The following is a 24,700-nucleotide window of genomic DNA, read 5'->3' on the forward strand; positions in this document are numbered from 1 at the left end:
ACAAAAAAATTAGCCGGGCGTGGTGGCGGGCGCCTGTAGTCCCAGCTACTCGGGAGGCTGAGGCAGGAGAATGGGTGAACCCGGGAGGTGGAGCTTGCAGTGAGCCGAGATCGCGCCACTGCACTCCAGCCTGGGCGACAGAGCGAGACTCCGTCTCAAAAAAAAAGAAAAAAAAAAAAAAGACAGTAGTGCAAAGGCTTTGCTCAGCAGTGACAGGATCACCTTGAGGCACTTTAGGAGCTCATTCTTCCTGCAGTGTGGAGAAAGGATTTGGGATGACAGAGGTGGGAAGAGGAGCAAGACTAGAGAGAGGAAGGGAAGTCCATGTTGCTGCCTGTTCATAGATATTTTCATCCATGATTTAGAGGACGACAGTCTCTCTCTCTCTTTTTTTTTTTTTTTTTTTTTTTGGGACGGAGCTTCGTTCTTGTTGCCCAGGCTGGAGTGCAGTGGCGCGATCTCAGCTCACTGAAACCTCCACCTCCCGGGTACAAGCGATTCTCCCGCCTCAGTCTCTCAAGCAGCTGGGATTACAGGCGTGAGCCGCTGCGCTCGGCAAGGAAGACAGTCTCTTATCCAGTTTTCTAAAAGTAGGTGAGTGGTCGGGTGCGGTGGCTCACGCCTGTAATCCCAGCACTTTGGGAAGCCAAGGCAGGCAGATCACAAGGTCAGGAGTTCGAGACCAGCCTGGGCAACATGGTGAAACCCCCGTCTCTACTCAAAAAATACAAAAAAATTAGCTGGGCGTGGTGGTGCATGCCTGTAGTTCCAGCTACTCAGGAGGCTGAGGCAGGAGAATCTCTTGAACCCAGGAGACAGAAGGTTGCAGTGAGCCGAGATAGCACCACTGCACTCTGGCCTGGGTGACAGAGCAAGACTCTGTCTCTAAATAAATAAATAAAAAGTGGGTGAGCGACTCTCTTCACTCTCCGATGCTCTCTCCCTCTAGCCTTTTGTAGTTTCCCCACATTAAAGTGGTTTTGTTTGCGGTGAGATAAACAACACCGGACTTCCACACTCTCTTTCTTGGAAAACTTCGGCACAGAAAGAATGTATTTGTGAGTTTTCTCAAAAGGCAAGAGAAGCAAGTGAATATAAAATGATCCCAGTCATGCATATTTCAAAACAGGGAAACTGCTGCAGAACCCACATGCTACTTTTTTTATGGTGTTGGTTTGTTCTGCGTACTTTGAAAACCGTAACACATCTCATTTCACAAATTATCCAGGATTCATATACTATTCTTCTAAAGAAAAAAGAAAAGAATCCATCACTGATTTTACTTTTGTTCTAAAAATGTTATTGAAACCTTTTCTTCATTCTGAATTATTTGAACTCAACTATGTGATTCTTGTCGGAAGTATATACAGATCTCACAAATATATTTAGATTCCTTTCCACAAGAGTAGTTTAGTTAGGGGAGTTTCCTATTAAATAATATTTTCATTGTAAACATTTGAGACTTTAAAAATTGTCCAAATAATTGGGGGTAAATCAAAAAGGAATTTGAAAAGCTATGAAATAGAAAGAACAGAATAAAAATTTCTCCATCTTGACAGCCTTAAAATCAGTGGCAGTGACTGCCAGAATGTGATTGTGGAGCACCAATTTTGTGATACTTGGGCCTCTTGAGTAAAAAAAGAGGTGCATGTCACATTAGTTTGGGAAATGCTGAATTAAACAAAGTTGCACCATTTTCTTTACTGTAGGACTCCTTAGGGTCCTACATATGCTCATGAGTGGTGACTATACCAACGCAGGTATAAAGTGTGGTGTTTCCCCATGGAATACTATGCAGCCATAAAAAAGGATGAGTTCATGTCCTTTGGAGGGACATGGATGAAGCTGGAAACCATCTTTCTCAGCAAACTAACACAAGAACAGAAAACCAAACACCACATGTTCTCACTCATAAGTGGGAGCTGAACAATGAGAACACATGGACACAGGGAGGGGAGCATCACACACTGGGGCCTGTCAGAGGGTGGGAGGCTGGGGGAGGGATAGCATTAGGAGAAATACCTAATGTAGATGATGGATTGATGGGTGCAGCAAACCACCGTGGCACATGTATACCTATGTAACAAACCTGCATGTTCTGCACATGTACCCCAGAACTTAAAGTATAATTTTAAAAAAAAAAGTGTGGTGTTTCCCAGATGGATTTTACCACAAAACTTTTTTTTTAAAGAAGTGTATTCTGGGACTAGTGTTTTATGGGATTTCCTTGGGAAAGGCAGATTTTTCACACAGGGGTGGTATATGGGTCATGAAGGCAAGGGTGGTATTGGGAGCATACCTCCTAGCCCCACACCTGGTTGCCCCTTTACCACTTTGCATTGTCATTCATTGCCACCTTCCCCTCCCACTAGAGGTCCTGGAGGCAGGGGTGCCCCTTGTTCCTGTTGTACCCAGTGGCAAGACTGGGGCCCATTCATAGTAGGTAGCACTTAACTTGCTTGAGCATTTTTTCTGTGCCACACACTATTTATGAGGTATACATGATTATTATCCCTGATTTTTTTTGAGACTGAGTCTGGCTTAATCGCCCAGCCTGGAGTGCAGTGGCAGGATCTGGGCTCACTGCAACCTCCGCCTCCCGAGTTCAAACAATTCTCCTGCCTCAGCCTCCCGAGTAGCTGGGATTACAGGCGTGCACCACCATGCCCAGCTAATTTTTGTCTTTTTAGTAGAGACGGGATTTCACCATGTTGCCCAGGCTGGTCTTGAACTCCTGACCTCAAGTGATCCACCTGCCTCAGCCTCCCAAAGTGCTGGGATTATGGGCATGAGCCACCACACTCGACCTTACACCCATTTTATAGACATTAGGAGGTTCAAAACTTGCCCAGAGTCCTACAGCTGGTGTGTGAGGGAGCCGGAAAGTGGTTCTGAATAGATGTATGCGACATGAGTGAGTGAAATTTGCTTTACTCTTGCAGAGCTAAGACTGTGGGCCTCTAATTCTCATTGAAGGTGGTTTCATGTGACAACACCCCTTCCGTCGTCATTCGGGTAAATTTCTTTAGTCCTTGATAAAAACTAATTTTTGTAATTAATGCTTCTTTAAAAATAACATGAAAAAAGAAACTAAAAGAACATCCACTGCACCGTGGAGCACTTCTTGTCACGTTGCAGGGCCCGTGGGAGGAACTCAAAAAGGTCTCACTGGCGGATTGATTTCTGCCCTACCAAGCCTGTGCTATTCATTAGGGTTTTTTTGTTTTTTGTTTTTGTTTTTGTTTTTTTGAGATGGAGTCTCACTCTGTCACCCAGGCTGGAGTGCAGTGGCATGATCTTGGCTCGCTGCAACCTCCGCTTCCCAGGTTCAAGCGATTCTCTTGCCTCGGACTCCTGAGTAGCTGGGATTACAGGCGCCCACCACCATACCTGGCTAATTTTTTGTATTTTTAGTAGAGACGGGGTTTCACCATGTTGGCCAGGCTAGTCTCGAACTCCTGACCTAGTGATCCACCCTCCTCGGCCTCCCAAAGTGCTGGGATTACAGGCTTGAGCCACCACGCCAAGCCCGCTTTTGTTTTTATAATTAATTTTTACTTTTACAAAGGTAATTATTTACATAATTTAAGAAGTCAAAAATGCACACACACATCACACACACTACTGTCTAGCATAATGAAAAATAACAATTGCCTGATCGCTTCCCCACCAATATTTATTTATTTATTTATGTATTTAGAGACAGAGTCTCACTGTGTTGCCCAGGCCGCAGTGCAGTGGTGCGATCTCGGCTCAGTGCAACCTCTGCCTGCCTGGTTCAAGTGATTCTCCTGCCTCAGCCTCCCAAGTAGCTGGGATTACAGGCGTGCACCACCACACCCAGCTGATTTTTGTATTTTTAGTAGAGACGGAGTTTCACCATGTTGGCCAGACTGGCCTCCCAAAGTGCTGGGATTACAGGCTTGAACTACCACGCCCGGCCCCCCAACCAATCCTGGATTCTCATTCTCAGAGGTAATCTCTTCAGACTCCTCTAGTTGTTTCCTTGGCATGTATCTAATTTCTAAATGTGCTTGTAATGCTTTATCTTGGTTTATTACTTTGGATTTTATCTTTTCTCTTCCTGGTAGCCTAAGGGAAATTTAGCTTCCTTATGTACTCACCTCACCTCCCTTTATCTTCCGCATGTACAAGAACTTACAGATAAATCAATAATCAGTATTGGTATTAATGATGACTACATAACTTTTATTCTTTGAAGGGCCAAGTATTGTGCTATGAATACACTTACTTTCCTTACACAGCCATTCGTTTTGTCTGCAGTTAATGATTGCCTTTTTAAAAAATTGCATAGATTTTAAAAAATAGCCTTTAACTTTTTCCCCAGTGCTCATCAGAAGTGCCAGATTCCCACCAGAATTTTTTTCCCCAAGTACTCTAGTATCTCAGGCAATCTAGGTATTCCTCCCTGTTCTTGGAGACTTAGCTTTGAGAGCGCCCTGTCCTCCTCCTCTGATCGGGACTAGTAGCTTTTAAGGCTGGCTAACAGCTGATATCTGGGAGTTTTCTTTTCACCATTCCTGTGTTGGATCCTCTGTCTTCTAGGCCCCATGTCTTCCTGTTCCTGGATTTATTTCCCGATTTTGCTGGGCCACATCTCTAGTAGCTTCCTGGGAATATTAATTTTGGGAGTTTGGGAGAGGATTGTTCTGTTCTGTGCCTTGCATCCGCTTCTTTAAAGTTTTTTTTTTTCTAGTTTTTGCTTTGTTTTGATCTCTGGAGGCACTAAAGTGTTGCTTGGAAGTTCTGTGGGAGGTGGGCTTATCCCTCGTGGGCCTGCCTGCAGAGCGATCTGTAGAGGATAATGGTTGGGCTTTTCTCTTGCGCCAGTTTCCCTGGAAGAGTCTACCAGGCTCCAGAGTGTGACAGCAGTCCAGAGGGAGAGTAAGGCATATGATTTTTCACATAACCCTATTTCATTCAGTAACTGATTTCTCCTTTCAGCTATGCTTGGTATCCCTAAGTTAACAACCTGTGGGTTAACCTCTCCAGTATATAAAATTGCTGCCGTCTGCCTAGGTTGAGAGGTAACTGTATTAGATGAAGGAATAGGACTGAGTGTCTAAATGCTCCTTAGAAAGTTTTGCAAACAATAGTTCTGCTTTCAGTCCTGTTTTACACCTCGCCGTTAACAATACCTGAATTTGAGAGACTTTGCAGCCTTCTTTCCTCCCACCAGCTTTTAATTTATTTCTTGTGACAGAAAAGTTACAAAGTACATGAAAGGAACACTAGTCTGCTATTCACCTAGATTTACTAATTGTTAACATTTTGCTGCATTTGTTCTATCTATCTATCTATCTATCTATCTATCTATCTATCTATCTATCACCTATCTGTCGATCTATCATTCTATCATTCATCTATCTATCTATCTATCTATCTATCTATCTATCTATCTATCTCTAGTATCTATTTTCTGTACATTTGAGAGTAGTTGCAAGCATCATGGCACTAATGTTTTAGAGCTGCATTTCCTAAATGTTTCAGAGGTACATTTCCCAAGAGCAAGGACATTCTCTTACACATAATAAGACTAGAATTACTGAATTCAGAAAGTTGATCATTGATATGATACTATTTCTAGTGTGCAGTTAACATTCACGTTTTTTCTGTTGTCCCAATAATATCGTCTATAACTGTTTTTTAAAATTCTTATATTTAAATTCCAAACTCTAAGGATCACATGTTATATTGACTTGCATTTCTTCAGCTTCTTTTAATGTCAGAGTTTTCCAACCTCCTTTTGCATTTTATGAAACTGATTTTTTCGAGCATTACAGGCCAATTGTTTTGCAGAATATTCCTCAGTTTGAAGTCCAATTATTTCTCCATGGTTAGATTTAGATTAAGCATTTTTTTGCAAGAATACTGTGTAAGTTGTGTGGTGTTCTGGACACAGGAAGGGGAACATCACACAGTGTTGTGGGGTGGGGGTGGGGGGAGGGATAGCATTAGGAGATATACCTAATGTAAATGATGAGTTAATGGGTGCAGCACACCAACATGGCACATGTATACATATGTAACAAACCTGCATGTTGTACACATGTACCCTAAAACTTAAAGTATAATAATAATAATAATAATAATAATAATAATAATAAAAGAAAAAACACTGGGAGGCACGTGGTGGCTTTTTGTCTCATTGATGATACTAAGTTTGATCATTTGGTTATGGTGGTGGCAGCCTGATTTCTCCATTGTCTTTTTCTTTTTGTAATTAAAAATAATCTGTTGATATTTTGAGGCTGTATGAATAGCTTGTTTTCCAACAGCCTTTGACCCTGTGGTTTTATCATGCATCAGTAATTCTTGCTTTAATCACTTGTTGCAATGGTGGTTACAAATGTGATATTCGAATTCGATAGTTTCTTCTAAAGTTATGAATTGATGTTCATTTGTTGAACGAAAATAAGCACTGTCCTTTCTAAGCACTCTATAATTTTTTGTTTGTTTTTGTGCCATAATGGACTCATGGATTTCTTTTTATTCAGTGGGTTATAGTCTTTTGCAGGCATGGTATTCTATGCTGAACTGGTTCCCGATTTGACCACAGAAATCCTTTCAATCTTGTCCCCGTGTCTTTTGAGGTGTCCTCATCAGTTTTTGAGCCTTTTCTGACACTAAATGATGTTCCATGTTCACCTATGTTTTTCCTGCCTTGGACCTATTTGTGATGATCAATTATTTCTCTAAGGCACCGTGGTTTCCTTCAGGGCGGATGGTAGAATGGTATTTAGAACCCAATATCGTGAATAAGGCACCCTGGTTTCTTTCAGGGGGGATGATAAAATGGTATTTAGAACCCAAGAGAGTGAATAAGGCACCCTGGTTTCTTTCAGGGGGGATGGTAGAATGGTATTTAGAACCCACTATCGTGAATGAGGCACCCTGGTTTCTTTCAGGGGGGATGGTAGAATGGTATTTAGAACCCAAGATCGTGAATGAGGCACCCTGGTTTCTTTCAGGGGGGATGGTAGAATGGTATTTACAACCCAAGATCGTGAATAAGGCACCCTGGTTTCTTTCAGGGGGGATGGTAGAATAGTATTTAGAACCCAAGATCATGAATAAGGCACCCTGGTTTCTTTCAGGGGGAATGGTAGAATGGTATTTACAACCCAAGATCGTGAATGCTATGGGAGCTCTTTGTACTGGGGTGGCGTTGCCTCCTGAGCTTTTCAGTGGACGGAGCTAGGAGAAATATACATATAAAATCAGGAGTTCATAGAGATATCACTGGGCTCTTTGTCTCCTCTCATGATTAATTTTCTCAGTCACACCATATATACCATATATATAAAATACCATATATATAAAATAGTAATTTTAGAATTACTATACCCATACCACCCTCTGTGGTTGGCTTTTCCTCTTGTATATATATTTATACTTTCTTCACTCCTGTAATTCAGCTACTTCTCATCCATCTGCTTTTCCAACTTCCAAAATTATTTCATGACTTATCTGCTTTCATCTTCCCTCTCATTCTCTTCTCCTTTTCTATTCCACCTACTGTCATTTTGGTGAGAGTTGGGGAGACACTGTTTGCAGTCTGCCATGTTTAACTGAAAAGCCCATCTTAGATCTTCCGTCTGTTGGTTACTTGAAGTAAGAAGACAGAGAATAAGCAGTATTTACCTTTAACACCCCAAGTAGCTCTGCTCATGATGTCTGCCTCGGTGTCCCGGGCCCGCACTCCTCCAGTATCCCTCACTGGCAATTAGAACTCTGTACGGCTTCCTTGAAGTTTCTCTTCCTAACTCTCTCAGTGGGTGGGACTCCTTTTCAGTGATATTGACGGTAGACCTGAAAATTCAGGGATGTGGGCAGTTCTGGAGAGAATAGGCCAGGCTCTCTGTGGATACATTTGCACTGTGCTTGAGGACTGAATGCTACAAATCAGACAGTCCTGGATTATTTCAGACTGAAAAAAATTAGGAGACTAACCTGGGAAGAGGCAGAAGGCACGCCAGCTCTCTCAGCATGTTTTTGATGTCTCGGTGTTCTCATTTCATTGAAATTAGTGCAGACCTCTCCCCTCAGCTGTAACACTTGGATTTTCTAAGCCACTTTGATGTCTCCTATCTCTGCTTATTTACAATGAACATAGCTTCGAATTTTCATTTTCTTTCTACTCTGTTAAATGTGTTATGTGGAAATCTGAAATCTGAAGACAAATTTTTACCTTAGAATTCTAAGAATGCCTTTGGTATCAACGCCAGTTAGGAAGGTCTAACTCAGGGCGGAAGGGGGGGTTTTCAAAAAGGTGATATTCGTGAGGCAGCCATCGCCTTCGAAACACTTTGAGAGGTTTAATTTATTTCTCATGCTTTGGTAAACAAAAGCTGGCATTTTCTTTCCATGGTTTTTCCACTGCAAGGCTGCCGTTCCTCCCCTTCCCCCGCAGTGGTGCATTTTGGTGATCAAATCTAAAACATGTGTCAGGTTTGCGGGCATGCTTTTTACCAGGAACCTCCTTTAATACTTGCCATATTGGCAGTTTTCACAAGATCTTCTCGCTGTGCTTTATTTATTTATTTATTTACTCTGCTTGCATTGTGGAATTATGGGTAGAGCTGTTTTACATCAGAATCATGTTAAATAAAAATATTGAAAGAACATTTTGACCAAGAATAATGTGAATATTTCAACATAAATATCTATGCTGAATTGGCTTCTAGATTTCAGAACAGGAAGAACATCTTCAGTGATGTTCATGATTTGGATTTGCTTTGCTGCGGAGTAGGTTTAGCGACAAATTCCATCTGGCTGGAGCTACATGCAGTCTCTCTATTGATTGGTTATATTGGGACTTCATGGGAGTGTCCTTCAATTTGCTTTTCCCAGCATTTTTAAAAGCTCCATTGGAAAAAAAAATAGAGACTAGAAAAGAAAAAAGGAACCTGCATTGTTTCAGTTTGCATCCAACATGCAAAACATAGTTCTAAATTTTTAATTAGCTAAGTGAGTGGTGAAAAGGAAAAGTAATATAACAAGCCTCCGTGAGCAGCTGGGATGTGTTGTCATGACGACAAGTTCAGCAGGCTGCCAGCAAGCATGTCAATGGGTAATATTGGGAGAGCGCTTTGAAACAGTGCCTGCTAGCCACAATGTGATTGGTCACGCCTCTGTTGTCTTTGTGTGAACCGGTGCATGCTGGGTAAGACCTAGAGTGAATGCTCAGCTTGTCTCAAGGCTGCAATGAGGTAATGCTTCTGAATCTTTGGGGATCATGAGCTCCTGCCTCCAAAAGACTGCAGTCTAGAGTGTTTTCATTCCGATTTGCGTTAATTACCGACTGTAACATGTTAGGAAGTTTTACAGCTGCCTTTATTCAATCTTTTATATGTGCATGTGTATATTATAGATAACTTAACACGTGTGTATGCTGCATAGAGAATCTCAAGCGTATTCTAAAAAAAGAGATAACCCTCCATATTAGTCATTCTGCTCAGAGTCAACATTTCATTTGATTGCTGGCATCAGTGACAATATCTATTGGTGGATAAATGATACATTAAAGTGCATTTACATTGGGTAAGCAAACTTGTTCATTTCTAGAGGATATTTTGGCATTGATTACTTTTTAAAGCCTTTTATCTATAATGAGTCGTAAGGGCCATAAAGGGGGATGTAAAGAGTGTCGGATTTGCTTGGTCAGGAGGTTTAGTTCATTTTTAGATTCCTTGAAATTGGCTGGTTTATATCCTAATATTGATATTATAGTCTTTCATTAATTGACCATAATATCTGATTGCTCCAAAACTATCTGCTGAATAATGCTCTGACAGTTTCAACTTAAAGCTGTAAAGGGAAGCTGTGTTTACAGACGCAAAGATCTGGAAATGTTTATGGTGGTTTGTGAAACAAATACATCAAGGTGCTGATGTGACAGAGACACATGAGCTACACCCCTCAGCCCTACCCCTGGTTCTCTGTGACACAGCGACTTGGATGCTCTCCAGGGTTTTGTCGGTTGGTTAGAGAATGTTTTATCACATTCATAAATAGTAACCCAATGCCCTGGAAAGGTTAAGGCAGTGTCTCCAACTAAGGTATGTGTCGCTAGGGGGGACACATACCATAGTTGAGTTGGGCTATCTGGTTCATCGTGTCACAAATGGGAAGCATGTGAGCAAGCTTTTGGACAGAGCTCACCGAGCTGTCATATTGCCACCCCAATGTATTTACCCCTCAAACAGTTCATAAAAATTTATAAGCCTTTAAAAGCATAAACAAAGAATAAAAACACATCGAACGACAAGTGATGGTTGCTGCTGCTGCTGCTGCTGCTGCTGCTGCATAGAACGGTGGACTCTGCCAGCCACCTTGCTTTATGTGAGGTCAGGCCACCGGCATGTGAGGAAGCTGGATGATCGTCAGCCCAGCTACCTCCGTTCACCAAATACAAGGCCAGCTAGCAAGAATCTGTAGCCAGCTTTGCAGCGCTTCACCCTTGCTTTATTCTTTTATATATTCATTTTTTAATGTTTTAGATTCAGCGGTACAAGTGCAGTACCCCTAAATCTTATTGTGTTACATGCGTATCTTCCACAGTGGTGACGTCTGGGCTTTTAGTGTGCCCATCACCCAGATAGTGTACACTGTACCCAGTAGGTAGTATTCTTGGCTTATTTCTACCCCTCTATATGGTTTCCGTTTATATGGCTTTGTAAAGAAAGACTTTACCAAAGATACATAAATGTGATAGCATAGCTAGGTTTTTAAATAATTGGTTCAAAATATTTGTAGCACAAAAAGGATCTTGGGTTGTGACTTTTACCAAGATGTTGATTCTATCTCCTGGCACAAATGCCAAAGCCAGACAGCTTGTGCTGAGACCACAGTTGGAGAGGCCTTTGAAGTGGGCTGGAGTCCTTTGTCTAAAACAAAGCAGGGTGCGGTGACCCCATGAAGAGAAATCCACCTGTTGATGAGACAGGCACTTTTTCTCTATAAACATTTGATTGTTCTGTTACCTTCATTTCTCTGGCAGATGGGTTAATTGTGTAGTTTCAAATTTCAAACATGCTTTTCTAATTAAACAATTTTTAGGTTCATTAATGACTCAGTTTGCATAAGATTGGATCCTCTGTAGTGCAGTTCCATTGTTATAAGCAGGATTTGTTATCTTTGTTGACTCGCAGGCTGTAAAGATTCCCTTACTTTAAAATGTAGAAATCACATTTCTTAATCGTCATAGGAAGACAACTTTATTTTGTGTAACTATATAGTAATCGTTTTTCTTAAGTGGCAAAATTCTAATCTTTTATATTTAGGTGATTTAGTATGTCTCTGTGGTCAGATTATGATATGGCAAAATCTTCATTATTAAGTCATTTTAAAGCATCTAACAAATGCAAAATTAATACGTTAAAGATTAAGTAGAAGTGAAAGGTAAAGTGATGTTCTGTTTAATTTACTATTTCATGAGCTTTTTACTATTTTGAAAGCCCCCTTGAAGAGGAGCAATGGCAAGTTCAAACTAGCGTGAATCATTATATCCTGTGACAGGTTCCACAATAAATGACTTGTGATTGATGTGAAGCCTGATGCTTAGAGATTAATGGCAGATGCAGTATTGTAGTGTTTTTCTTTCATCACTAATATTATCCAGTGAAGCTAGTAGCTTAGCAAAAGACTTTGCTCAGAAATAATTGGGATTGGTAATACTGATGGTCTGTGAAGTTTTAAAAAATATGACCCTTTAGGGAAGTCTAGAGAAAAACAGTGTGCTTTTAGATAATTTGGTGGGTTCAAGAAATTTAAAAATACTTTTCTTTAGAAATTCACTGTTTACAAACAAATATCAAGCTCACTACATTTATAAAAGGGGGGTTATTAAGCAGTAGAAGCAAAAGTTCTTTTGAAGATAGGCAAACTTTAGGAGAAGAATAAAATCAGGGTCTCTGGAAGGTAGAATATCAAGAGTATTAAGGCTTCAAAATCAGACAAAATCTTAATTCTTCTACACTCATTGGGGTAACTTTTGATCACTTACTCTCTCTACATTGATCCTTCTCCCACACTCACCAGTCACAAAAGTCAGTGTCCCCCAGGTGTAGATGAGTGGGATGGACCAGTGGATACACCTGGCTCTTTACTGATCAGGTGGTTCTGTCACATGGAAATATGAGGAGACAGTATTTGTTACCCCCAACTAAGAAACATGTGGTCTCTATTCTTATGGGTTTTATTATGACGTCAAAAAGTCATATTTGTATAATACTTAACTTCATTAATAAAGTGCCATTAAAATAATTTTTAAATGACACAAATTATAATAGGAAACAACATGTTGAATGTTGCTTTTATCTATTTAAAAATGTTATATTTTTTTTCTTTTTTTCTTTTTTTTTTGAGACGGAGTCTTGCACTGTCACCCAGGCTGGAGTGCAATGGTGTGATCTCTGCTCACTGTAAACTCTGCCTCCTGGGTTCAAACGATTCTCATGCCTCAGCCTCCTGAGTAGCTGGGATTATAGGTGCCCGCCACCACACCCGGCTAATTTTTGTATTTTAGTAGAGACGGGGTTTCACCATGTTGGCCAGGCTGGTTTCGAACTCCTGACCTCAGGTGATCCGCCTGCCTCGGCCTCCCAAAGTGCTGGGATTACAGGCGTGAGCCACCACACCCGGCCTAAAAATGTTGTATTATTTCTAATATGACAAAAATGCAACCTTACTGGCTTTCTTTTTTTTTTTTTTTGAGACGGAGTCTCGCTCTGTCACCCAGGCTGGAGTGCAGTGGCATGATCTCGGCTCACTGCAAGCTCCGCCTCCCGGGTTCATGCCATTCTCCTGCCTCAGCCTCCCTAGTAGCTGGGACTACAGGCGCCCACCACCACGCCCGGCTTATTTTTTGTATTTTTAGTAGAGACGGGGTTTCACTGTGTTAGCCAGGATGGTCTCGATCTCCTGACCTCGTCATCTGCCTTCCTCGGCCTCCCAAAGTGCTGGGATTACAGGCGTGAGCCACCGCGCCCAGCTTTCTTTACAAAGCTGAATGTTGATAATTGAAATAGAGACTAGTCTGAAATGTACTTCTGTTCCACTTGTGTAAAAAGGGTTTCCTAAATGAATTAATGGCACAAGGGAGATGATCTGCTTCAGAGAATAAACTTTGCAAGTCACTTCAGTTCTTCCGATGGGGTGCTGATTAATATTCAAATGTTATGTTGAGAAAGGACTGATTTTCAGATCTTTGTGACCTAGAATCACTTCCCCTATGGTGCATTTTACACATTGTGTGGTTGTAGTATGTCAAATCCTTTTTTATTTGGAGCTCATGTTATTTAGATTGAGTCTATGGTGAGGTTGTATGTAATGCATGATGCCAACAGCGCTGGGAGAGAAATGCTGTCTTTATCTCAGTACCTGTTTATCTTGAGTTGAAAGTTTGTTACTTGTAGGTGGATTGTACTCTGTACTGTGCTTTTGTCTTCCTTTTGTCCCCAGACCAGAGCTAAGTATAAAACAGGTGTAAAAAATTGGTGAGTCGTTTTTGTTTTGTTTTGCTTTTTGAGACAGAGTGTTGCTCCGTCGCACCCAGCAGTGGTGCAGTCTCGGCTCACTGCAACCCCCGCCTCCCAGGTTCAAGCGATTCTCCCACCTCAGGCTCCCAAGTAGCTGGGATTACAGGTGCATGCCACCATGCCCAGCTGATTTTTTGTATTTTTAGTAGAGATGGGGTTTCACCATATTGGCCAGGCTGGTCTCAAACTCCCGACCCTAGGTGATTCACCCGCCTTGGCCTCCCAAAATGCTGGGATTACAGGCATGAGCCACTGTGCCCAGCCAAATTGGTGAGTTTTTACATTGAAACGTTATGAAAAATTACCCTTGACCTCAGAAACAGGAAATGGAAGGGTTTTATGAAATCTTAGACATGTTATCTGTTGAATTTTCTTATCACGAAACAGTGCTGCTCATATTTACCCATTTCCTCTTTCAATCAGCATAAAAATCTTATAGTCTTGAAATCTGAAATTTGAATTAAAAAGATATTGTGGTTGAATTTAAATCAAAGCAGTTATGCCGTGTTTATGAATCTTTTAGCCACTCATGGCACCAGCATGTCCGTTTTCTTGGTGACAAGGCATGTGGAATGGTGACAAGTGTGTAGGTTCAGGATATTAGAACGACATTTGAATCCTGGAGGTACCATTTCCTTGCTGGGAGACTTAGAACAAATTAGCTTTAATCCTTTAAATGAGGATTACACCCACATCACAGGTTATATTAATTGTGAACCTATATGAAGTGTCTGACATAGAGTACTGGCCGTGCAGAAGGTGTGCAATAAATGTTAGCATTCTTTATCTCCTGCTTGCATTTAATTGCTAAAATGACCAAATTCTGTTCACTTTAATGGGATATCTTTCCTGAAGGGATAAGATAAAATTGTTTGTTCTTCAACTCTGATAAGTTATTCTAGAAGAATATCTTTCTGATACCATTAGACAGTTTTATCATCTGTCCTTATGTAATGTCCTTAGTTTTATCAGCTCAAAAATAGGGATGCAATTGATATCAACATATTGAGATCATTAGGGGTTTATCATTGGAAAAGGGGTAAGAGAGGAGCTTTAGACGGGAAGCTCATTCGGGCACTTATGCTTAGGGTGACAGAGGAAACCAGTGGCGGGGGTTGTGGGGGGCGGTTTCCAGTAGTGCAGGTGAAAACCTAAAGCAAAAGAAAGGAACGGATTTAGAGACATCCAGAGAGTGAGTAGAGTGGCTCTGTTGACTGTTTCATTATGAGGGAAGGGGGTGGTTAGGGAAGAAGGGACAGCAGGTGTCTGTCTCACATTCATGTGTCATGTGGCTGCCCCAGTGGTGGTGCTACAGTCCAAACCAGGAGATACAAGAAGGGGCAGGATTTATGGGATAGAGTGAACATTCAGTTTTGGACATGTTGAGTTTGAGGCACTGGGGGTATCTAGGTGGAATCATCTGATAGGTAAAGAGAGAGGGGGGCAGGGAGGGAGGGAGAGGGAGAGATTGAGAAAGACAGGTGGGTCAGGCAATCAGAGAGAGTTTTGGGACCAGGGAGGGAGTTTTGACCCCTTCAGCTCTATATGGCCAAGAGTGGTTATGCCTGAGACGGTGGGTGGGCCTGCCCCTGTGGGGCACATAGCTGGGGAAGAGAGGAGGTGTGGGTGAGGATGGAGCCTTCGAGAGCTCTCTTTTAGACGCCAGCAGAGGAAACAGTTATAAGAAGAGGAAACTCAGACCATAGTTATGAATTTAGAATCTGCATTTGGTTTTAATAATTTACACACAGTGAGTTTCCCAAAGAGATGGAGAAGTCAACTGTTTGGAACCAAAAAGCCAAAGCTGGAAAGAACCACAGTGCCCTGAGTCAGTTCTGCATTTGATGGACAGATGGACGGGTCTCTTGAGTCCACTGAATTTCCATTTCATCACAGTCACCCTCCCGGCGGCGCCTCCCCCAGAAGCCGTTCCCAGGGGTGGTGATGACTCAGGCTACGCCACACATTCACCTTAACCTTCATGAGACCACAATGCTGCAGATGGCTGTGGGAAATAGAAGGTACTGAACACTCAACAAGGAGGCGTGCAATTTAGAGTAGTTTTCACTCATCTTTAGCATGAGTGCTTAAATGGTTGTAATTAGAAGGGATGACCTAGGACCTGTGCGGAAAGTGTGACTTAATATTTTAAGTATTTTTGGGAGCTATTAAAACAAGAAAAGTGTTCTTTACTTTGTCAAATTTTGCTTTTTTCTTTTCCTTGATAGAACTCGATCAATGTCTTAGCTATTATATAATCTGTCATTAAAACTGTGACCTTGGGCAAGTTACCTAACTCTCCCTGATTTCATTCATGAAATGGAGATAATAGTATTTGTTTCATAAGGTTCTTATGAGAACAAAGTGACGTGACATGTAGAAAGCCCCTTTGTACATATTGGCAGTAAAGTGTAGTTGTTATGAGTAGGAGGTGGGAAGGGTAGGCATTAGAAGTGAGAGGGGCTGGGCACGGTGGCTCACGCCTGTAATCCCAGCACTTTGGGAGGCCGAGGTGGGCGGATCACCTGAGGTCGGGAGTTCAAGACCAGCCCGACCAACACGGAGAAACTCCATCTCTACTAAAAATACAAAATTAGCCGGGTGTGGTGGTGCATGCCTGTAATCCCAGCTACTCGGGAGGCTGAGTGAGGCAGGAGAATTGCCTGAACCCGGGAGGCGGAGGTTGCAGTGAGCCGAGATTGTGCCATTGCACTCCAGCCTGGGCAACAAGAGCGAAACTCCGTCTCAAGAGAAAAAAAAAAAAAAAGAAGTGAGAGGAAAGCGGTTAAAGATGATGGGGTGTGCATATGAGTGAGAATGTTTATCATCGAGAAAGTGAGTGGTGCAAGAGGAAGAAAGGGGAACATGATGGTGTTTGGTGTCTTTAAGGAAGAGTGAAGGAAGGGTAAGAAGGCACGGGAGCATACACTGGCCACCCATGGGTGGTGCTCACACCTGGCAGTTGGATGTTTGGGACCGGAGATGTACCTAACTTAGATAACTTGTTGTGTGCTCTACGCTCTAGTTGTTTTGTTCGGGTTTCCTGCAATCAGACATAGCTGGATTGTAGGATGTCATGAAAATGGTGATAGTAGGAAGGAAAGTAGTTATAATCCTGTGTTGGATTAAAAAGATCATCAACTTTGGGTTATGAAAAATGTAGTGCCACGAAAGTATGAAAATGTTAAAACTTAGAAACATAAAATAACAGTTTATGAATGCAAAGCTTGGGAAATGAATTATGAAAGTCTACTATGTTTTTAGGAGCATAAGACAAAATGAGGAAGACAAAACTTAAGGAAAACCCATGAGGGGATCCAGCTGAACACCGGATCGGTACACACTAAGAAAATAACTGAAACTCATGTGAGTTCAAACGCAAGTGTTAATGCTTTTTATCAAGCAAAAGATATCAGGATGGGTAACACTTTGCTTCCCAAACTCTGAACATCACAAAGGGAGTTGGGGAATGGCCTCAGGATGTGTGTTAGGATTATCAATCCCTGTGCCCTTTTCCCTCCCATCTTTCTGAAATCTAATCCAAGGGTTGTCACACTTTTGGACTTCACGTTCAAAGAACACTTCAATAAAATTTGTGTGGATCACCATAGGTCGCCAGCTTTTAGTTCTGGCAAGCAAGTGCTTTTTAAAAAAATCTGTCATCTCTTATCACCATTACTGCATTAAAAAAGAAGACATTTAACATGCACACATGCATATACCTACACACACACACACACACACACACACACACACACACAAAGAAGAGCATAATTAAAGACAATTTTTTGATCAAGTAAAGTTATCTTTATGAGAAATTTTCTTTGTTGTCTTATCTTTTCTTCTTTTCATTGTGGACTGTTAAAATAATTGTCCACACAAGCACAAACACAGACCTACAGAATCTGGCCAGAATTTACTAAGTACTGGTCCAGCTGTTGTCTACCTGCTCCCAGGTGACCAGCCCAGGACAGCTTGGGAGACAGAAATCCTGCCACCTTCGCTGCTACAAACGCAGGGCTGAAAAGACCAACCCTTTTTCCGGACCACTTTGTGGCCCAAGCCAAGTTATCAAAAGGATCTTTGTTGCCAGGGGATGTTTTTTTCTTTTCTGAGAGTAGGTTGGGTTGCGGCAGGGGGGCGGGGGGTGTTGGGTGGCAGGGGTTTGGCCGGGGGAGGGGAGGGTGGATAGAAAGGATAGAAGGTAAATGGTATAACACAAGAGGGAAATTTTAAAGACTTTCAATGATTAAGTACATATGACTTCCTTTTTCTTTTTTGCCCTGGCACTGCCTGAAAAGTACATATGACTTTAAGCTGTATAGGCGAGAATATTTTAGATTCTAGTGTAAAGTAATAGGATACGGTATCACATTGGGAGTGATGTCTTTCTTCATCAATTGTTTGTTCTTAAAACAAGCCTTTTATGAGGTGTGGAACTTTAAAGAGGCCAGTTTTGCTGTTCCTGTGAGAATTGACGCCTTTATTGCAAAATATGAATGTGGTAGACATGTGGGTTTTTGAAAGTTAACAGAAAAATCTACTAATCTGAATAGATCATTAAGAATGTAGTCTGCTTCATCAGTGTACGTGTTACATGAACAGACATTAAGAGCTTGTGACGGCAGTGACTTACCAGCAAGGATGGGATAAAAGTAAAATGTGGAAGGAAGAAAATGCAGCATGGTTTTTTATTATAGAAGAGCTTACAGACAACTTGTATTGATAGCTTTCGCAAATTTAGAATTAATTTATATTAACAGTTTGATATTTGGAAACATTTACTTTTAAAAATTAGCCTGATTTGTATTTAAAATTATTTTTTAAAATACAGCAACACGGTTTGCTTTGTTGCCCAAGCTGCTCTTGAACTCCCGGGCTCAAGCCACCCTCCCGCCTCAGCCTCCCAAAGCCCTGAGATTATAGGTGTGAGCTACCATACCCCGCTAGATTTCTGCTTATTCATAATCTATGAACTTTGAACTTACCATTTTCAGGGTTGCAGGGTTTTTTTTTTGAGACGGGATCTTACTGTGTCACCCAAGCTGGAGTGCAGTGGTGGCAATCATAGCTGACTGCAACCTTCAACTCCTGGGCTCAAGTCATCCCTCCACCTCAGCCTCCTGAGTAGCTGGGGCTCCAGGCACGCACCACCACGCCTGGCTAATTTTTGAAAGTTTTCTGTAGAGATGGGATCTCACTATATTGCTCAGGCTAGCCTTGAATTCCTGGACTCAAGAGATCCTCTCACCTCAATCTCCCAAAGTGCTGAGATTCCAGGCGTGAGCCACCACACCCTGCCATGGTTGCAGGTTTTAGGTGTTAAATTTACATATCTTGTGTTGGGGAAACTATTGATTTAGGACCACAGATCTGAACAAAGTATAAAGGAGCTGATCCATCAGCCATTCATTCCTGTCTCAATAGAGACTGTGCCGCAGTGCTCTTGGCCCATGCATGAAAAAAACACTTTATACTGTCTTGCTAGGTTTCTCAATCTCAGTCTATAACTACATGTACGTGTGTGTGTGTGTGTGTGTGTGTGTGTGTGTGTGTGTGTGTGGGGTTCCAGCTGAATTTTCTGTCCCGAGGTTGAGTTAGAAATCAGCTTTTGTTTGCTTTACAATTTCTCGTGGCTTCAGTCAAACAGTGGTGTCAAATGTGGTATCATTGACATCTGTGGTAGCCTTCGTTCTCTGAAGTCTATCAGCAATATCCATGCTGATAATTCAGTCTAAATGATTGCCCAGCCACAAGCTGGACAGTGAACACTGTTTTCTCAGTTGGGTTGGGTGCTCCTCAGGGAGTCCCACTATGCCAAGCAGATGAAGCACAGTTTGCCATTCACTGAGAAGGAGCCCCTGGGACCCCATTCGGTGGCCCAGGCCACATCACTGCCCCCGACCGGACCCTTGCCTAGAACTGTTAAGTGTCAGGGGAATCACACAGGAGGAAGGGCAGCCACCACATACACACAAGGAGGATGTTCGGGTGGCCCCCGCTCTCAGCTAGAGGCATCTCCATGGAGCACTTTGGGCTGAGCCACCTTCTTCTCTGTCCCCACTGGTTCCCCCACCAAAGTGCTGCAGCCAGCAGCCAGAGATTAAAATCCTCATTTGGGTCGAGTAAGAAAGTTTATCTATTACCCATAAACCTTTTCTTGCAAATCTGCTCATGCTGCATATATTGACTTTCACATTTCACTCTCTAATTGAGTAGAATTATAAGTATCCCTTGCCTATTCATCCTGCCAAATACTCAAGATTTCTGTTCAACAGGCTGTCCTATTATCAGTAAACTGCCCTCGCTATGACATACTAATATATATGATATGAACATTGCCTTCTTGGAGCTCTTTTTAGTATAACCGTTGGGGTCATATCCCCCAGTGAGAAGGCCATTAGAATTTTGGGGTCAGGTTATTTGTACATGGTAGTGTAACTGTCAAGATGTAATATCTGAGGGGTTTTTTTGGTGGAACTTTTTGTGTTGAGTATAGAAGCCAATCATGTTCATATAGTAGACAAACTTGAGTGATACTCGTCTAAGGACCACAAATACCAACAGTTTGAAGTAAAAGTAGGAGGACTGAACATTATTGAGGCAAAGTCTCAGGCCATACCTGTTTCTCTTCTCTGTTGTAATGCCCTCAGCCAGGGCTAAGGTGAGTTTTTGAAAGCACCCATCACTATTGTGTGTGTGACGTGGATAGGAGAGGTTCAGAAAAGGAAACAATGAACTCAATAATTATATTTGATGCTAATGATCTGGTCTGTGGGTCATGTGGGTGTCTCCTGTCTCCTGATCCACCTAACACTGATGACAAAGCTCATTAGTACCTCTGGCCAGAGGGTGGACTTGAGGAAAGAGAGGACAGCACTCATGTCAATCAGTTTGGCTTCTCATTAGTAACTCCAAAGAAAATAGTTGGCCAAAGAGGCCAGAACCACAAAAAGGAAGCTAACTTTGAGTCACCCATATCTGTCCACTATTATCACAGAGGTGGGAAAAGGCTAAGTGTCTGGTATGTGGTAAGTGGATGAAGTGAAATGATATTTTTTAAGGCTAAAATAAAACTTGTAAAAAATCTCAATGGCAGCAGTCCTAAAATAAAAGTAAGTCTTTATAAAAGAAAAACAAAGTCCAAAGTGAACATATTTGCTTCTCCTGCTAACAGTGCTATTTCAGACACTAAAAAGTAGTGATGGATTCTTCTTCCGAGCAAGAGGGAGCGTGTAGCTGAGACCATGGGCAGAATGCATGGTGCAGCAGGCACCGTGGGGAAGGAGATCAGAATTTGAAGTTCCACTAAACTGTATCACCTGGCATAGACTCCGAGGTAGCCCGAAATCCAGTAGGTCACACTGGTGTGGACAGAAAGATCTTCAAGGGAAGCCCTTGCTTCCTGACCTGAGAAGCAGGAAAAGGGAGTGCTGACTTCATAGTGAGTGGAAGAAGCCACCGTCCTCATTCTCTCCCTTCCCAACCCATAGCCAGTCCTGCACAGCGGCGTAGGGCTGGGCAGACATCCAAAACTGTGCGTGCTGGGGGAGGAGGATTTCCTTCTTTCTGATGAAGGGAACTGTGGTCCTAAGAGCATGGGGCGAATTCCCATTGCTTTTCTTCCCTCCCTCTGTCCTTCTGCCACTTGACACCACATTGAAATGCAGTTGTGCTAGAAGTATGTGGCTGAGCAAGGCAACTAAACCCAGCGTTCTAGCAGAAGGACCATGAAAAAGGGCCCTAGGGTACTGGAAGGTACTGGGGAGATCACAGAGAGGATCAAGAGAGCTATTGCATAAAATATTGTATGAACTCCTGGACTCGCTTCTGAGCTGTGCATGTTTGGATCTCATTGTAGCAGCATTACAAACGCTTTGAGAGCTGAAATATGAACTAGATCATACAGGTCCCAGGCTGACCACTGCATGGTATACATGTAAGACAGATCCAAATAGCACTGCAAAAGCTTTCTGCACTGAAGTGACATTCAGCTGACAGGAGGTGGTTTGGAAATCGCAGCCTGAACTTAACAATGTTGATCACGTGCTTAAAAAAAAATTCAACATTGTCCTTAGGATTTAAAGACTCGGACTCTCATGATATAATAATCAACATTACTAAAAATTAGCCAGCATATGAAGAATTAGGATAATCTCAATTTGTATGTGAAAGAACAAGTAACAGTTGCAAATACTGAGGTGTCACAGATGTTGGAATTATCAAAGATTTAAATCAGTTATTCTAATCATGGCCCCAGAAGTGTGGGAATAGATTATGTAATGCAGAAGTGAGTGGTAATTTTAGAACTGAAATATATAATAATCAAAAATAAAAATTCATGGGTGGGCTCAACAACAGAATAAAGATAATAGAAAGAGAAGAGACAGTGGACTTGAAGATAGAGCAATAGAAATTTTTCAATCTCAACAACAGAGAAAAAGATTGAAAAAAAAATAAGTAAACAGAGCTTCAAGGATGTGTGAGACCATACCAAAAATGTCCAACATTTGTGTAATCAAAGTTCCTAAAAGAGTGTGATTTGAAGAAATAATGGTTGGCAACTAAATTTGGTCAAAGACGTAAGCTTTTAAATTTAAGAAGCTGAACAAACCTAAACAGGCTAAAATCAAAGAAATGCATGCCCTGACACATCATAAACTGTTGAAAACTAAAGAGAGAAAAATATTGAAAGCAAATAGGGAAAAATGCTACATAACATATAATAGAGCAAGTTGAATTACTGCAGATTTAATTGGTATGTTTAGACATACCAATGATACATAACATATAATAGAACAAGTTGAATGACTGAAGATTTTCTGTTAGAAACCACAAAGGCCAAAGTAAAGTGGAACACTATTTTTAAAATAACCAGGGAACATATTATTTATATACGAAGGTAAAAAAATGAAATTCTCAAATAAAAGAAAGCAATAATTCACTGCCAGAAGACTTGCTCTAAAAGAAATGCTGATAGACAGAAAATTATACCAGAGGAAAACTTGAAACATCAAGAGAAAAAGAAAAGCAACAGTAGTAATACCTGAGTAAATATAATTATTCTCTTAAGTTCTTTAAAATATGTATAATAGGCCGGGCGCTGTGGCTCATGCCTCTGATCTCAGCACTTTGGGAGGCCGAGGTGGGTGGATCACGAGGTGAAGAGATCGAGACCATCCTGGCTAACATGGGGAAACCCCATCTCTACTAAAAATACAAAAATTAGCTGGGCGTGGTGGCGCATGCCTGTAGTCCCAGCTACTCAGGAGGCTGAGGCAGGAGAATTGCTTTAACCCAGGAGGCAGAGGTTGCAGTGAGCAGAGATTGTGCCACTGCGCTCCAGCCTGGTGATAGAGCAAAACTGTGTCAAAAAATATATACACGTATAATAATGGAAATCAAATATTCTAGCATTGGTAGAGTTTCATTGTATATAGATGTAACACATATGAGAATTGTAAGATAAAGAGAAGAGGTTAAAAGGACTAAAATGATGGTAAGATTTACCACTTGAAGTAGTAAAATATTAATTCTAAGTAGACTGTGAAAAGTTAAGTATATATATTTGAAATGTGTAGAGCAACAGCTAAAGACACCATACAAAGGAATACAGTAAAAACTCAATAGATAAACAAAAATAGAGCACTGAAAATATTCAAATAATTCAAATAAAATTAGGAAAGGAAAAACAGGAACAAAATGAGGGAAGAAACCTAAAATAAATCATAAAGGGTAGATTTAAATTTCAACGTATAACTAATTATATTAAATATAAATGATCTAAACATACAAATTAAATGACAGAGATTGTCATAATGGATTTTTTTTAAATGACCAAAGGATATGCTATCTACAGGTAATACATTTTAAATATAATGAAATGAATGTGTTAAAAGTAAAGTGATATACACTAATCATAAGGAAGCTGGAGGGGCCATATTAATATCAGAAATAGTAGACTGTAGAGCAAGAAAAATTACCAGGGATAAAGAAGAACATTACATAAAGAAAAATGGGTAAGTTCACCATGATGACATAACAAGCATAAAAAAGTGTATGTACCTAACAACAAAGTTTCAAAGTACATGAAACAGAATAGAACTGAAAGGAAAAATGGACAATTATAGTTAGGGGCTTCAACACAGCTCCCCCAATAATTGCAAGAACAAGTAGATAGAATAGCGGTAAGGATATGGAAAAACTGAACAATGCCATCAGACTTGCTAATTGACATTTATAAAGTGTTCCTCCCTCAAATAGCAGAATATACATTCCTTTAAAATCCTCAGGGAGCATTCAGAAAAATAGATGACAGCCAGAGACATAAAACAAACCTAAAAATGATTAAAAGAATTGAAATAATCAAAAGTAGTTATCTTACCATAATGAGATTTAACTAGAAATCAACAAAAGAAAGATAATTGATAAATCTCTAAATACTAGGAAATTAAACAACCTACTTCTAAGTGATCTGTGAATCAAAGTCTCAGAGAAAGCAGAAAATATTTTGAAGTGAACAAAATTGAAAATGCAATATATCATAATTCATATGAAGTAGCTAAATCAGGGCTTAGAGGGAAATATGGAGGATTAAACCCTCATATTAGAAAAGAAAAAAAGAACTGCAATGAGCAATCTAAGCTTCTACCTAAAGAAACTAGAAAAAGAAGAGCAAAACAAGTCTAAAGCAAGCAGAAAGAAGGAATTTTATAAAGATAAGAGTAGATATCAATGAATTTGAAAACAATAGTGGAGAAAACCAATAAAATTAAAAATCTGGTTTTTTAAGTATATCAAGAGCTGATAAACCTCTAGCCAGATTGACAAGGAAATATGACATAAATTACCATTGTAAGGCATGAAAGAGGGCATATCACTATAGTCCCCACAAAAATATAATAAGCAAACACCATCAAGAGCTCTGTGCACATAAATTCAACAATATAGATGAAATGGACCAAATCCTAGAAAGAAGAGGCTGCCAAAACTCACCCCAAAATATCCCTTTATATCTCAATAAATTCAATGTATAATTAGATCTTTACCAAAAACTCAAAAATCAAAACCTAAAAAACTACAGGTTTGGATGGTTTCACTGGTAGAATTCTCTGCCAAACATTTGTGGAAGAAATGAC

General features: G+C 40.9%; 1 protein-coding gene across 3 annotated transcripts in view, besides 1 other annotated feature; it reads left to right on the forward strand.

Annotated features, from left to right (window-relative positions):
* STOX2 (storkhead box 2) overlaps positions 1-24,700 on the forward strand; it is a 225,509-nt gene that overhangs the window by 153,036 nt on the left and 47,773 nt on the right. The gene's annotated exons all lie outside the window — the stretch shown is intronic.
* Positions 22,547-22,736: a silencer, noted in NCBI's record as "fragment chr4:184894757-184894946 (GRCh37/hg19 assembly coordinates)". NCBI's record gives its function as "represses an EF-1alpha promoter that drives an FKBP-Casp9 reporter gene in an ReSE screen in K562 erythroleukemia cells {active_cell/tissue: K562}" and the evidence as "EXISTENCE:reporter gene assay evidence [ECO:0000049][PMID:32094911]".

The sequence above is a fragment of the Homo sapiens genome, chromosome 4 (assembly GCF_000001405.40).
Source record: "Homo sapiens chromosome 4, GRCh38.p14 Primary Assembly".
NCBI lineage: Eukaryota > Metazoa > Chordata > Mammalia > Primates > Hominidae > Homo > Homo sapiens.